General features: G+C 48.8%; 1 long non-coding RNA gene across 1 annotated transcript, besides 3 other annotated features; it reads right to left on the bottom strand.

The window, feature by feature from the left end:
* Nucleotides 1,618-2,118: an enhancer, noted in NCBI's record as "H3K4me1 hESC enhancer chr13:110390819-110391319 (GRCh37/hg19 assembly coordinates)". NCBI's record gives its function as "activates a minimal SCP1, AML or CMV promoter by ChIP-STARR-seq in naive and primed H9 embryonic stem cells {active_cell/tissue: H9 hESC(naive and primed)}" and the evidence as "EXISTENCE:reporter gene assay evidence [ECO:0000049][PMID:30033119]".
* Nucleotides 2,119-2,619: an enhancer, noted in NCBI's record as "H3K4me1 hESC enhancer chr13:110390318-110390818 (GRCh37/hg19 assembly coordinates)". NCBI's record gives its function as "activates a minimal SCP1, AML or CMV promoter by ChIP-STARR-seq in naive and primed H9 embryonic stem cells {active_cell/tissue: H9 hESC(naive and primed)}" and the evidence as "EXISTENCE:reporter gene assay evidence [ECO:0000049][PMID:30033119]".
* Nucleotides 6,767-7,268: an enhancer, noted in NCBI's record as "H3K27ac-H3K4me1 hESC enhancer chr13:110385669-110386170 (GRCh37/hg19 assembly coordinates)". NCBI's record gives its function as "activates a minimal SCP1, AML or CMV promoter by ChIP-STARR-seq in primed H9 embryonic stem cells {active_cell/tissue: H9 hESC(primed)}" and the evidence as "EXISTENCE:reporter gene assay evidence [ECO:0000049][PMID:30033119]".
* Nucleotides 10,556-12,316, bottom strand: LINC00676 (long intergenic non-protein coding RNA 676). The gene is made up of 3 exons (NR_103846.1): nt 12,045-12,316; nt 11,398-11,557; nt 10,556-10,632 (listed from the first exon to the last, which is right to left on the bottom strand). It is a non-coding gene; the product is annotated as a long intergenic non-protein coding RNA 676 (long non-coding RNA).
* Nucleotides 12,317-14,257: the final 1,941 nt, after the last annotated feature.

The raw sequence follows: 14,257 nt of genomic DNA, 5'->3' as shown, positions 1-14,257 counted from the left end.
AAGATCTAATTTTGATTAGGCGATTCATGTTCACACAATCATTTGAACTGAAAATGCCCATCTGAATGCCCACACAGACGTCATCTATATGAATTGGTATAATCAGCACATGAGAATAAAAGTCCTTGCCTGCACTTTCCTCTTTTCCTTTATAACAGCAGTGCTCGCACATTCAATTCCGGCACGGTCACCTCTGACTCGCTCGTCACTGCCGCTTGCCATCACAGGTGTTTCCTGGTCAGTCACTGTCCACTGGCTGCATCCCATGGTGCAAGCTCATTCTGGAACCTTGTCTTTGAGCTGCTTCCTCTCGTTCTATCTTCTGCAGATACCACTCCTCTGTGGTCTGGGGATTTTCTCTGCCAAGAACATCATGCAGTTTGGGGGTGCAGTTCCCATTTGTCTCTTGACAAAGGGAAACACAAGTGGATTGAAAGCAAAAACATAAGGGCTCTTTCCCCGAAGCCATTCCTGAATCCTGAAACTGAAAGAGGGGATCCAGAGGAAGTGTGGAATTAGTTATCATGGAAAAATCCAGGGTGGAAATAAATTAGGCTAATGATAAAATAATTGAACAACATTCTTGGGTCTGACTTCTTAAGCCACAGTGTTAGAAGTTGGCATAGAATCTGATCCCTTATGTTACAGGATCATCTATTTCATGCCGTATAATATAGTACAGTAGGCATAATCCTTTTGGGGATAGACTTGGATTAAATAAAAATTATGAAACTTAATGTCACTGTGTCTTCAATCATTTTCTTTTCCTTTCTTTATTATTATTTTGAGACAGAGTCTCACTCTGTGGCCCAGGCTGGAGTGCAGTGGCACAATCTCGGCTCACTGCAACCTCTGCCTCCTGGGTTCAAGCGATTCTCCTGCCTCAGCCTCCCCAGTAGCTGGGATTACAGGCGTGTGCCACCACACGCTACTAATTTTCGTATTTTTAGTAGAGACGGGGGTTTCACTATGTTGGCCAGGCTGATCTCAAACTCCTGACCTTTTGATCTGCCCGCCTCAGCCTCCCAAAGTGCTGGGATTGCAGGCATGAACCACCATGCCCAGCCCGATCATTTTTCTTTTTAATCACTTACAAAACATTAATTTTCAAAAGGAGAAAAGAAGGTGGGGTAGACTAGGATCCAGGAGAAAAGTGTGTTCACCTGTGTGGGACTCAGCAAACATTTGACCTCTCGGGGCCTCACTTTCCTTCTACCTGAATCATCTCACAGGTGACTGAAATAGATTAATGCAGCAAATATCTATACTGATCACCTACCTTCTATCAGTGCCCCTATGCCCCAAGGCATGGGTCCTTCATACAATTCTTTTAAAATAAATTATTACAAATTGATATCAAATTATTATTTGGAGACAGGGTCTTGCTCTGTTGCCCATGCTGGAGTGCAGTGGCATGATCATACCTTATTGCAGCCTTGACCTCCTGGGCTCAAGCGATCCTTCCACCTCAGCCTCCCAGGTAGCTGGGACTACAGGCACATGGCACCACGCCTGGCTAATTTTTTGGATTTTTTTTTTAGTAGAGATGAGGTCTTGCTATGTTGCTCATGCTGGTCTCAAGATCCTGGGTTCAAGCAATCTGCTCTCACAAAGTGCTGAGATTACAGGTTTGAGCCACCATGCCCAGCCAATTAGATAAAATTATTATAAAATAAATTAATTTTATAATAAATGACAACCATTCAAAATAAACCCTGAAGATCCTTTACCCAATTCACTAAGTTACATTGTATATGACAGATTATAGTATCAAACGGCAAGTCTCAGGGCCATACACTAAGCCTTATCGGGAACTGAAAGTGATCCATCTCCAAGATTTTGAACACAGAAGTTCCCCTGCTTGGCCACAGCGCCCCTCTTCCCTTGTCCTTTTCCCCTTCCTGGAGCATCCTGGGGTAGACTGACTGTCAAAACAGCCCACGCGTTCCGCTGTCTTGCCCTGCCCTGCATCCAGCCTGCGGTGATGTCACTTTGTGGCTCTTCTCATCTGGAAGTAGAGGGTATTTCTCTGCACTCCTGAGTCTGGCCAGCCTTGCAACTCACTGTGGCCAATGGAATGTGGAGGAAGTGGCAGGTGCCCGTCCCAAACCTATCCTCAGAAGCTGTCTGCTGGGAAACAAGCCCAGGCAAATCTGCGAGATGAAGAGAGACCACACGGAGCCGGCACCAGTCCATCCGGTTGTCTCAGACACGTAGGAAGCCCAGCAGGATGAGCCGTCGCCAGCCCCCCATCCCGACTCACAGACTTATGAGCAAAGGTCAAGGTGTGCTGGTGTCCGCCATGAGGTTGTGTGGTTGTTCAGTCCCGTGTCCAGGTGATGGACACCTCCTGTCCCTCCCCTCTTCCTCATTCTCCCAGCCCATCTCCGTTGCACAGTCTCACGTACCTTTCTGTCCACACTGATCCTGAGGCAGCTGTGTGAGCATAAACTGAGGCAAGAGACCAGCCCAGAAAGGCTGACAGATTTCAAATCTCAGACCCCAGGTGACCTTGTGGTAAGGGACATTCCTCACCCTGGGTGGCAGGTGACACTACAAGTCAAGTCGGTAATTCTAATCTCAACTTAGGTCCCATTGATGTTTTGTTATTCCTGTCTCTTTAAATGACACCTCAGGTGACTCAATACATGGACTTTTTCACTCCCTCCCCTTCGGCCCACTTACCTGCTACTAGGCCTGCTCCACACAAGTGATCTCATATCCAGGAGGTGGGGTGCCCCAAGCAGGAGTCCCCCTCCTCTCCCTCCTCTCTTCTTTAAGCTGTCCCTGCTCCTCCTCACACACCCCAGCTTCCTGCATTTTGCTTCATGCTCAGAGCTAGCCAGCTGTTCAGCAAGCACTCGATCAGAGGCTGTTCTACGACAAGGGCATCGTTCCTGCCTTGAGTCACTCTCAAGCTAATCAGCGTGGGTGGCTGGTGGAAAACATGCCTGTGAGAAAGCAAATGAGTGGATGGCATCATTGGGACCTCATATAAAGAACAAAGACTCATGGAGACACTAGAAAATGGAACCGCCCCAGGGAAGCTCTATAGAGAGAAAATCCAGCTACACCTTGGAAGGAAAAAGACCTTTGTCCAGATAGAGAAAGGAAAAAATAGAACATCCATCTACTTCTTGCCTCGCCACTTATGCCGTGCTCCTTTGCAATATGGACTCTGCCACCCTCAGCCGTTGACAGGGCTGTGTTGACAACCTTCTCGATGCCACCGTTGCAAGAGCTCCCAACCCCCTGCAGCAGCAGCTCACTCTGTTGACTCCTTCCTGCCTAATAAAGGTCATAGGCACCATTCCTTAGTGCTAGTTGTCACAAGACCTTGCACCAAACACCTTACGTCTTATTTCACCCTTGCAACAACTCCCATTTACAATGCAGAGAAGCGCTGACAGGGCGCTCAGATAGATGTCCCAGGTTACAAGACCACACTAGCAGAATCATGGCTTCACCCTGAGTCCGGCTAATTCCACATCTATGCGCAGCCACCCTGCCCCTCGCCTTCCCTGCAGGGCGAGTGGCTGAACATTTTCTTTGGCTAGTGCAATGGCCACCCCTTCTTTCTCCCTCTGCTCTCTAAATGTCCTTGACCCTCAACTTCCCAACAATGACTTCCCATCCCTCACTTCCTTCCTGTGTGATCTCCTTCTCTGGAGATCCCTTACTGCCTTTCTCTCTTTGCAGCCACCTCTCAAATCCCAGAAGCCAGGATGTTACATGTGCAATTTCCCTGCAAGGTGCCTTAATTTGGTTTTCCTAATGGCATCTTAAATTCAACATGTCCAGAATGGATCAGTGTCTTCCCTGAAAACCAATTCCATCTCTTGACCATTTTCTCTAAGTCACTGGGGCTAAAATTTAGAGGGCCACTTATTTCTGACAGCTCCCTCCCCACATCCTTGGGCCCTCCCCACATCCAATCAACTCCTGTCTGAAATGTGACTTGTAACCGCCCCTCCCTTGCCATTCCCACTGATAGCACTTTACTTATTACTTGTTACTTCTTGCTGGGCCACAGAAACGGCTGGACTCACCTTCCTGTCTCTGGTTTATGTGCCATTCAGAGAAACTCTGAGACATCACCTGACGAATCATTGTGATGCTCAGCTTGCAGGATCCCACTTCTCTACTCAGGGACCCCCAGTACTTCCCCGTTCTTACTGAATAAAGTCCAAATTCTACACTTCAGTGTTCTAGCCCCTTATCACGTGGGCGGTGAAACCTTTGGCTGCATCTCGGACAGCTCATGGGCAGGTCCCCTCTGCTGTCACACCCAGAGTTAGGAAGGCCTCAAATTCACTCCCTGCACACTTGCTTCCCTGTCTCCTGGCAAACTGCTTTCTCTTTGTTCTTAACTCTGCCTGGGAAAATCTTCCCCATCCTTGAAGGCCTTTCTCCACTGTTACCCCTGCATGAAGACCTCACTGACCCCCCAAAAAGTGTTTGACCCAGAACACTTTGGCTTTTGCTTATAATATTTACCTCTGACTTGGGGCACGTGTTTCATTCTCTATTTGAGTGTATGCTCTTTGAGGGTAGGAATGAGTGACTGTCTGGCCTACCCTGAATCTTGACTCTCATGAATCAAGTTTTATAAATTGACTCAAAATAATAAGTTAGAGTTACAAGAATAAGGTGGTAACGGTGGTTTTATAATTCAGAAATAATCCTTTTAAAAATGTAAAAAATACTCTAAAAAAGTCAGCTGTAGAGGTTTGCTCGTGGTTGCCAAGGAGCAAAGACTTTCAGAGAGCTTAACTCCAGTGGGTTTGAGCCTCTTTCTGATTAAAGCATCAGTGCCAATAGCATTGGATCCCTCCAAGAATGTGGTGTTTGGGACTTTACCATCATTTGTTTGTGGAATTGTGTGTAGGTCTGAAAATTCAGGCCTGTGGGGAACTAACTTTGAATTTTGATAAATGACTTTCGTGGTCAGTTCGGGTCACCCAGCTACACTCTGTTGTGTATATTTTGGCACATCTGCTCTTGAAAGATATGATTATATGTAACTCCAACAAATATATCAAAAGTGTGTTTTAATTTTTTTGCCTTTTAGATTTAATGAACCAGTTCCTAAGAGAACCCTACATGTTTCTTTAGAAGACCTAACCAATTGATACTGCATTATGACAAACCCTCTACCAGAATTTCCTCATTCATTCAAAATTATGTTTAAACCCATAATGTCCACATTCTTTTTTTTTTTAACATGAGGAGACATCATAAGAAATGAAACAACAGTTTGAGTCAGGGCAACAGAGTCCAAGTTTCCTTCCAAGAGGCCAAGTTGTTTTAGCAGAAAAGGACATTGGCGCCAAAACCCACACTAGGTCCACCGGCAGCAAACACAGAATGGTGCCCTCACTCTAGGAAGCTGGCTGTTCCATATTTTTATACTAGATTTAAGGTTCAAAATTTCATGTTGGTGTTCATAAATGCAAACACACAAGCCAGCAAAGAAAAAGGAGAGTTATTTAGTTTATATTTTCTTCTCCCATCCTTTCTCTCTCTCTTTCTATGCAAATGTTTCAATCACATAGGTTTGACCAAATAGCTGCGTCTTACACCATTCTCCTCTATGTAAAGATGTAAAGCAACTCTGCACTTTTTTTTTTTTTTTTTTTAAGACAAAGTCTCACTCTGTGGCTCAGGTTGGAGTGCAGTGGCACAATTTCGGCTCACTGAAACCTCTGCGTCTTGGGTTCAAGCGATTCTCCTGCCTCAGCCTCCCGAGTAGCTGGGATTACAGGTGTGTGCCACCACACCTAATTTTTGTATTTTTATTAGTCAGGGGGTTCACCATGTTGGCCAGGCTGGTCTTGAACTCCTGACCTCAGGTGACCTGCCTGCCTCAGCCTCCCAAAGTGCTGGGATTACAGGCCTGAGCCACCCCGACCGGCCATGCACTTGGTTTTGAGAGCAGCACAGTGGCGGTCTGTTCTCCCTGCCCGCCTGCTCCAGGGAGAGGAGTTGCTTGCTCCCTTACAGCCCTCACCTCCCATGGGACCCTGCAGGTGCTGAGGGCTCAGGCGCAGCTGCTGCCAGTCGTCACAGCCATCTCATCCATTCCAGAGTTGTAAATAGGCTGATGATTCCGTTTTTTGTTCCCAGAGCTGTATATCCAGTGGCCTCCTGGAGTCACCTACTGGGATGGCTGATGATCTCCAAAAGTGTCAACACTGTCCCAAACTGAGCACCCCGCCCCACAGCAGAGCCCTGCCCCAGCGCCTCCTGTTCTGGCTCTATGGCAATTCCCTCTTCCCAGCGGCCGCAGCAAGAGTCGGGTCCCCTGCGCCCTGGCCCAGCCCCTGCCGCCCCTGCCTGGCCTGGATGTTGGCAATGGTGGTTTCCCAGTGCCCTGCCCCCACCCTTTCCCTTACCCCTTTCAGCCCGTTCCTTACTAAGAAGCCACCGCAATGTTGGTGAGAAAGTGGGTCAGATGTGCCACAGCCTTAGGCCGCTTCAAAGTCTAACCACGTCCTGAAAACCTTCTGGTTTGGTTCCCAGCTCCTGCTCCGATCTCGCCTCTATTTGAAAACCACCATCCCCACATCGGCCACCTCTCAGTCACCCCATCCTCTGGCTCACCCCCGAGACCGCTGCCAATTGGGGGGACCCGTCCATAGCACGGATGGCGCTGCTTCCGGCACCTGCGCCGCCCGAGGGTCTCCTGGCCATGGCCTGGGGGTGCCACGCAGCCGTGGCCACCGCATCCTCCCTCAGTGCTCCCCACGGCTCTCAATGCGCTCCCCAAGTGCTGACCACGCGCGCCCCCACGGCTCCCCGACAGCTCCGCCACGCCCTCCCCACGGCTCTCCACGCTCTCCCCAAGTCCCCAACGGCTCCCCCAAGCGCTGCCCACGCTCCCCCACGACTCCCCCACTCCCTCTCCACGTGCTCCCCACGTGCTCAGAGGAGCCTGGACAGGTGGATCCGGGTTGCCCCGGGGACTCATTCAGGGGTGAGCACACCTTGTACTTTTCCCTCGTTGTTTCCCTCCTTCCCCTCCTGGAAATGCCTCCTGCGGAAACCACTCAAACCCTTGTCTCAGGACCATGGCAGGGGTCTCCTTTCTTACAGGGCTGGCTGCTTCCTCAGTCAAGGCTTCTTTGGCTATTTACTTATCTAAAATGAAAACTCCAGCCATATTCTCAGTATTTCATAGCCTCCTTTTCCATGTTGTTCTCATTCTTTAAAGTACTACCTATTTCACCTACTTGTAGTGTTCTCTGTATCCCTCTCCTACCAGAATGTGACATGGACGGTAATGTCAGCCTTCTTCACTCCTGGTTAAGCAGACTTGAGAAAAGGGCCTGGCATACAGTAGGCATTCAGTAAATGCTTTGTGACTCTGTCGAGAGGTGACAGCATGCTGGCAGCCCTCACAGGCCTTGCTCGCTCTCGGTGCCTCCTCGGCCTCGGCGCCCATTCTGGCCGCGCTTGAGGAGCGCTTCAGCCCGCCGCTGCACTGTGGGAGCCCCCTCCTGGGATGGCTGAGGCAGGAGCCGGCTCCCTCAGCCTGCGGGGAGGTGTGGAGGGAGAGGCACGGGCGGGAACCAGGGCTGGGAGCGGCGCTTGCGGGCCAGCTAGAGTTCCGGGTGGGCGTGGGCTTGGCGGGCCCCGCACTCGGAGCGGCCGGGCAGTGAGGGGCTTAGCACCCGAGCCAGCAGCTGCGGAGGGTGCGCCAGGTCCCCCAGCAGTGCCGGCCCACCGGCGCTGCGCTCGATTTCTCGCCGGGCCTTAGCTGCCTCCCCGCAGGGCAGGGCTCGGGACCTGCAGCCCGCCATGCCTGAGCCTGCCCCCGCACCCCCGCCGTGGGCTCCTGGCGGCCCGAGCCTCCCCTATGAGCGCCGCCCCCTGCTCCACGGCGCCCAGTCCCAACAACCGCCCAAGGGCTGAGGAGTGCGGGCGCACAGCGTGGGACTGGCAGACAGCTCCACCTGCAGCCCCCGGGCGGGATCCACTGAGTGAAGCCAGCTGGGCTCTTGAGTCTGGTGGGGACTTGGAGAATCTTTATGTCTAGCTAAGGGATTGTAAATACACCAATCAGCACTCTGTATCTAGCTCAAGGTTTGTAAATGCACCAATCAGCACTCTGTGTCTAGCTGATCTGGTGGGGACTTGGAGAACATTTATGTCTAGCTAAGGGATTGTGAATACACCAATCAGCACTCTGTATCTAGCTCAAGGTTTGTAAATGCACCAATCAGCACCCTGTGTCTAGCTAATCTGGTGGGGACTTGGAGAACCTTTGTGTCTAGCTCAGGATTGTAAACGCACCAATCAGCACCCTGTCAAAACAGACCAATCAGCTCTCTGTAAAACAGACCAATCAGCTCTCTGTAAAATGGGCCAATCAGCAGGATGTGGGTGGAGCCAGATAAGGGAAGAAAAGCAGGCTCTCCGAGCTAGCGGTGGCAATCTGTTAGGGTTTGTGTCTGTCGTGTGGAAGCTTTGTTCATTCGTCTTTTGCAATAAATCTTGCTACTGCTCAGTCTTTGGGTCCACACTGCTTTTATGAGCTGTAGCAGTCACCACGAAGGTCTGCAGCTGCACTCCTGAGGCTAGCGAGACCACGAACCCACCGGGAGGAGCGAACGACTCCAGACGCGCTGACTTAAGAGCTGTAACAGCTTACCGCTAAGGTCTGCAGCTTCACTCCTGAGCCAGAGAGACCAGGAACCCACCTAGAAGGAACAAACTCCGGACATGCCGCCTTTAAGAGCTGTAACACTCACCGCCAGGGTCCGCAGCTGCATTCTTGAAGTCAGTGAGACCAAGAACCCACCAATTCCAGACACACTGTCATCAAAAAGTGGGATATCTTTTTAAACAGAGATAACATTGCAGAATCTTGGAGTTGGAAATAGACCTCAGCTGGGGTTTAGTCCTGTTTTCTCCTCAGAGCAGAAGTCCTGGGATGCCGTTCTGGACTGATTGTCAGTTTTTTCTCCTGTCCTTGAGCTATTCTAATGCCAGACATCTGTGGCTTTACACAGCCAGGCTTTCAGTTAGAGAACTTGGTTAGCTCAGGTCAACAAATGCTGCTCTGAGAACACTGACTCCCATGTGGGGAGACTCTGCACCTGGAGCTCCGGGAGAGCCGGCTCAGGCCTCTTCCTGCTATCCAGGGAACTGCAGTGGCGTTGGAGGGCCTTGCTGGGGCTGGGGCTGGGGAGAAGGGATTCCAACCCTACTGATAATTCGTTTGGAAACACCGGGCTGTGGATTTCAGAAGTTCTTGGGCAGCCTGATTACCACTGGCAGTGAGCCGGGGACGAAGCCGAAGCTATGAGTGACAGACGGAAAGAACTGGGGGCTTTGGTGAACCAGAGAACACTTAGCTCCTCCAGCCCTGAAGCAGGCGTCACCGCAGGGCTTATGGTCCTAAGAGCCACTTAGTTTCCTTATTCATTAAACTAGTTTAATTTGGGTTTTCTGCATCCTGGAGGACACCAAGTCGGTGTGCGGAGGGACCCTGTAGACACGTGTGCAAAGAATAAGCCGACGATCATGGAATTTCTGATGACGCCACTGACACGTGGGATGGAGGCCTCCTTCCCAGGGCACCCCTACACTCATGACAATGAATCCTGGCTCTTATTCACCCCTTTGGATTTCACAAGCAAGTAGTAAGTAGAAAAATAGTTTCATTTTATTTTCAGTACATCAACTGAATGTGCTAATACTTGTATCCACTTCCACATGTAAGAACTCTGTTACATAAATTTGAGAATAATCTGCTCTTTGCTATTTTGACTTTATTTTCACTGCAGATTACCAATTGTCCCTACAATTTGCGTTTTATAGTTTACATCATCGTACACTTGATTTTATAGGGAACAAAAGGTTCTCAATAATTACAAAGAAATGTGTTGATTTAACATACTCCAAGAATCTCATGAACACAGTCCAAATAATAATTCAAAATTGAAGGTGGTATATTGGGCTAAAGTGTCCAGCAACTAAGGAACTAACGATGACTTAACTTTTATTGTCTTGGGTCACAGACACATAAAATTGACTAGAAAATTAATCCTGGTATATCTTTTGTATCTTCAACATCACTATGAATATTCTACTTTTTAAGTGACATGGAAACATTCAAATTGAGACATGGAGTCTGAGAGTGACACGGGCTGCTGGAGTCCACACCCTGTTGACCAAATCCACACCTTTGGTGGCCAGCTCCGTTTTGGTTTTCAAACTTTAAGCTCCATTGTATCCCCAAAATATATGAATGAAAACAAATCAATTTATTTATTTTCATTTTAGTTATTTATTTGAGACAGGGTCTTGCTCTGTCGCCCAGGCTGGAGTGGGTTGTTGTGATCTCGCCTCATTGCAACTTCCATCTCCTGGGTTTAAGCGATTCTCCTGCCTCAGCCTCCTGAGTAGCTGAGATTACAGGCACGGACCACCTTGCCCGGCTAATTTTTGTACTTTAGTAGAGAGAGGGTTTTGCAATGTTGGCCAGGCTTGTCTGGAACTCCTGACCTCAAGTAATCCTCCTGCCTCAGCCTCCTAAAGTGCTGGGATTACAGGCGTGAGCCACCACACCCGGCCCAAGTCAACGTATTTATAATATGTGAATTGTTTGCACACCTATTTCAAGCACTGGAAAAGAAAAAAAAGAAAAGAAACAGGTCCATGAATGAGGTAAGCAGAGTTGGACCCAAATACTTCAATGCCTTCTCAACAATTTCTTCTAAATGGCTTCCCGAAATTAGCTCTGCACGACCTATCTTTCTTGGGGGGTGGGGAAGCGATTACTTTTTAAAAGCCACATTAAAGTGTGTGTTCTATATCACGATGGCAGTTAAGGGAGGGGAGGCGTCTACAGCTGACCTGGGGAAGTTTTAATCATTGAACTATGCACAAGTGGGGCCGGGGCGGGAAGCGGCAGGAAAATGAGGCACCTTCTGCAGAACCTAGCCAGCCTGCAGGCGTTCCTGATCTGAGGAAAACACTTTAATTAATATGTAAAACAGCAGTGGGGAGAAAAGCAAGGTTAATTTCCAAACCACATCACTACCAGCGGTATTTGGGTTATGAAACCTTGGGAAACTTCTAGGAGATCCTGTTTGAAGGCACAGAGGTGCTTTTGTGTGTGAGTAGCTTCTGAGATGCTCAAAAGCTCTTTTATCTGCCCCCTGCAGTGGTATTGCTCTTTCTGTGTTTAAAAACACTGCCTTTGACTGGCAGGCTTTTGTTTTTAATTTGCAGTGCATCCTCCATTTTTGTTTGGAACTTGCCTGAAAGCAGCGTTTAGGGGAGAGAGAGCTGTTTGATTTCCTTTGTTGCGGCTTTCTTAGCTGCTGGCTACCTTTGGAATGTGTGACACAGGCGTCTCTCCTGGTTAGGAAAATGTTCTGTACTTGCCTGGGGTGAGACTGTAGCTCATTTCCTGGGTTGAGATCTAAAATCCTGAGCAGAGTTAAGTGTATCAAATAGTGGCTGTGCCAAGGATCAGTGTCTGGTGGAGACAGCGGATTTTCCAAGGTCATGGAAGTGAAGAAACAGCTGACAAGTCTTTCCCTAGCTTGAGCAGAAACAGCTCCATTCAGTGCGTGAACAATTAACTCAATTAGAGAATGTGCAGCTTTCTAAAGACGCGTCCACTGTGAGTGCGTGTGCCTGCGTTTCCTGCCTCCCTCTCCTCACAGACACCTCAAAAGCAACATATCTGAAAAGTCCTCTTAGCTACCCTGTCTAGGAGAAGTCAGAGGCTTGAGGACGATACTGTGTTCCTCCCACCGCTTGGTATCCCACCAACACCCGCTCCTGGCCATTAGACACTCAAGCATCTTTCAAGTAGGGAGATGACTTTTTTGGGGGTCATAGACTCCTTTGAGAATTAAAGTTTACCCCAGGAGGAAAATAATATCTGCACATACCAAGATCAGCACACACTTTCAGGGGTTTTCCCATACCTACTTTAAGCCCAATTAGGATTTCTGTACTAAAATCAATCCCTCTGTCCCATTTCCTCTGCCACAGCCGTATGTGCAGCCCCACGCGTTACTTACATCTAGCCTGGAGGGTTAACTTTGACTTCCCAGCTTCTGGCACAATTTCCTTCTCCATCGCAGGCCGGAGTGGTCTCCACATTCCCCAAGGGCTCACCCATGACCTTTAGAAGAAAGTCCAAGCACTAGCTTGGCACTCAAAGTCTAAGGAATTCTTCATCCCGTGCTCCAGGCACATGAAATGCCTGTGTTTTCGTGAGCAAACGTTTCTCCTGTGGCCTTCCAGTTTCTCCCAGTACATCCTGTGGACTATCGTGGAGGATTTGCATTGCAGTGTGTGCCTCTCAGGTCCATGTTGGAGTGCCCTGCGTCCGCCTCCCTCTGCGCGGTCCACTCAGCTGGGTGGCGTCACTGGTGACTGGGCTTCTGCCTCCTTCCTTTCACTGGGAGACTCCTCAGTCAGAGTCTGGGTCTTCATCTCTAAACCCCCCGGGGCAGCAGCAGTCCCTGATTTTGACATAGGAGATTAGGACTGCAGCTTGTAGGGAGGTGGTGATCCACGGAGGGGCTTCTTCTGAAGCTGACTTTTGTAGCAAGCACAGTGTTCCAACTTACATTAAATACACGTGGGGTGGCTTGATATGACGATGGAGAAGATCCCACATTGCACAAGGTGGGAGCTAAAGCCCCAGTCCTCGCCCTGCAGCTGTAGTACACAGCTTCACAGTTACGTGCACTGCCACATGTATGTAATAATCTGGTATGTAACAGGTGCTTGTTGAATATTTGTTGGATGAATAGATGAGTGACCCTAGAAAAACACAATGCAGACCTATGGGTAGAAGAAGAAAAGAACCTGGAGTTTCCTGGAAGTTAGGGGTTCCAGCCCACCTCTGTCCACAGCCATGTGATCTCACACACACACACACACACACACACACCTACACCTGCACCCATGAGCCTCCCCACTTTGTCAGGGATCATGATTCACAGGTTATGCTGCATCTCCTAACTTTTCCATTTCTTTGCACTCACTTTTTCACTCCATTTATAGGCACACAGCAACCCCGTCTCCTGCAATGACCCCTGCTCCAGGCCTCACATAAACCACCTGCTATCTGTACTCGGCAGCCCTGGTCCGAAGGCAAACACAGTCCTGGTTGCCCCACCTGACGCAATTGCTCCTAGCATTTCTTATTCACTCTCCAGCTTTCGCTTGGCTCTACCCTCTGCTGAAACAGCTAACCCTCTTGCCTGGCAGAGTCAAGGAAATTTTTGAGTCCAGGGCCTTCAACCTTGTGTCTTCAGGAGCCTCTGCAAAGCTGGGTGCCATGTAGGTGGGCTCTCTCCTTCCACTCCCTGTCGTCTTCATTCTCTAGCCCTCCGTATCACCCTTCTGGGCAATTCTTTCTCAGCTCACTTAGCGAATGTAAGGAAGTGTTTCATTTTCAGTCTTTCAAATCTTTTTTCAAATACTTCGTATTCAATCATTTCCTCTTCTTGGATAGAGTTTTGTGTTTTAAGTACAGTGTTATCCAATGGCTAGATCCGCACCTCTAGCCAGCTCACCACTCTGTGGCCCAGACTCTCTTTGCCAACTGTTTAACTCTCGTGTATAAATGACAGGCAGCTGCATATGTCCATATGTCCAGCTGTCTGTTCTGCAGTGGGTCACTTATGGGATCAGATTGTACATCTGCCTGTTTCACTTCAAATTGCCTCTTCTTTGCAAGCATCCAGGGGTGTCTTGCCTCACATACAAACAAACACAGAACAAAACTAAAAACCTCAAAGGAATTTCTGTGTTGAAGAGGTTTTAATGGTAAAATAATTAAGTTTACTTGCGATTAAAAAATAATTGTAAATTTTTATTAAAAAACCCTCAAAACTATCTTGCTGTATTTTTCTTTTATTATAATCAAAGTTTAGGCAAGAAGAGGGGTATCTATTGGCTCATGAAGTTTAACAGTTCCCTGGATTGACCTAGAACAGTGCTTTTCAAAATAAGCATCAGGCCCATCTAGAGAGCTTGGAAAGAGATCTCACTGAGTCAGCTCCATCTTCCAGAGTTTGTAATGCAGTGAGTCTGGGAGCTGAGGTTGAGAATTCGCATTTCCAGCAAGGCCATGAGGCTGCTGCTGCTGCTTTGGGGGCCCCACTTTGAGAACTCATAGCGTCAGGCACCACAGGACCCAGATGGTCAATGATATCCGGAGAATCAAGTCTCGCTTTCCCCAGTGACACAGAAAGTTCCTGGCACTCCCAGGCTAACA

This window comes from Homo sapiens, chromosome 13, assembly GCF_000001405.40.
Source record: "Homo sapiens chromosome 13, GRCh38.p14 Primary Assembly".
NCBI lineage: Eukaryota > Metazoa > Chordata > Mammalia > Primates > Hominidae > Homo > Homo sapiens.
This window is presented reverse-complemented; position numbering and strand designations above follow the sequence as displayed.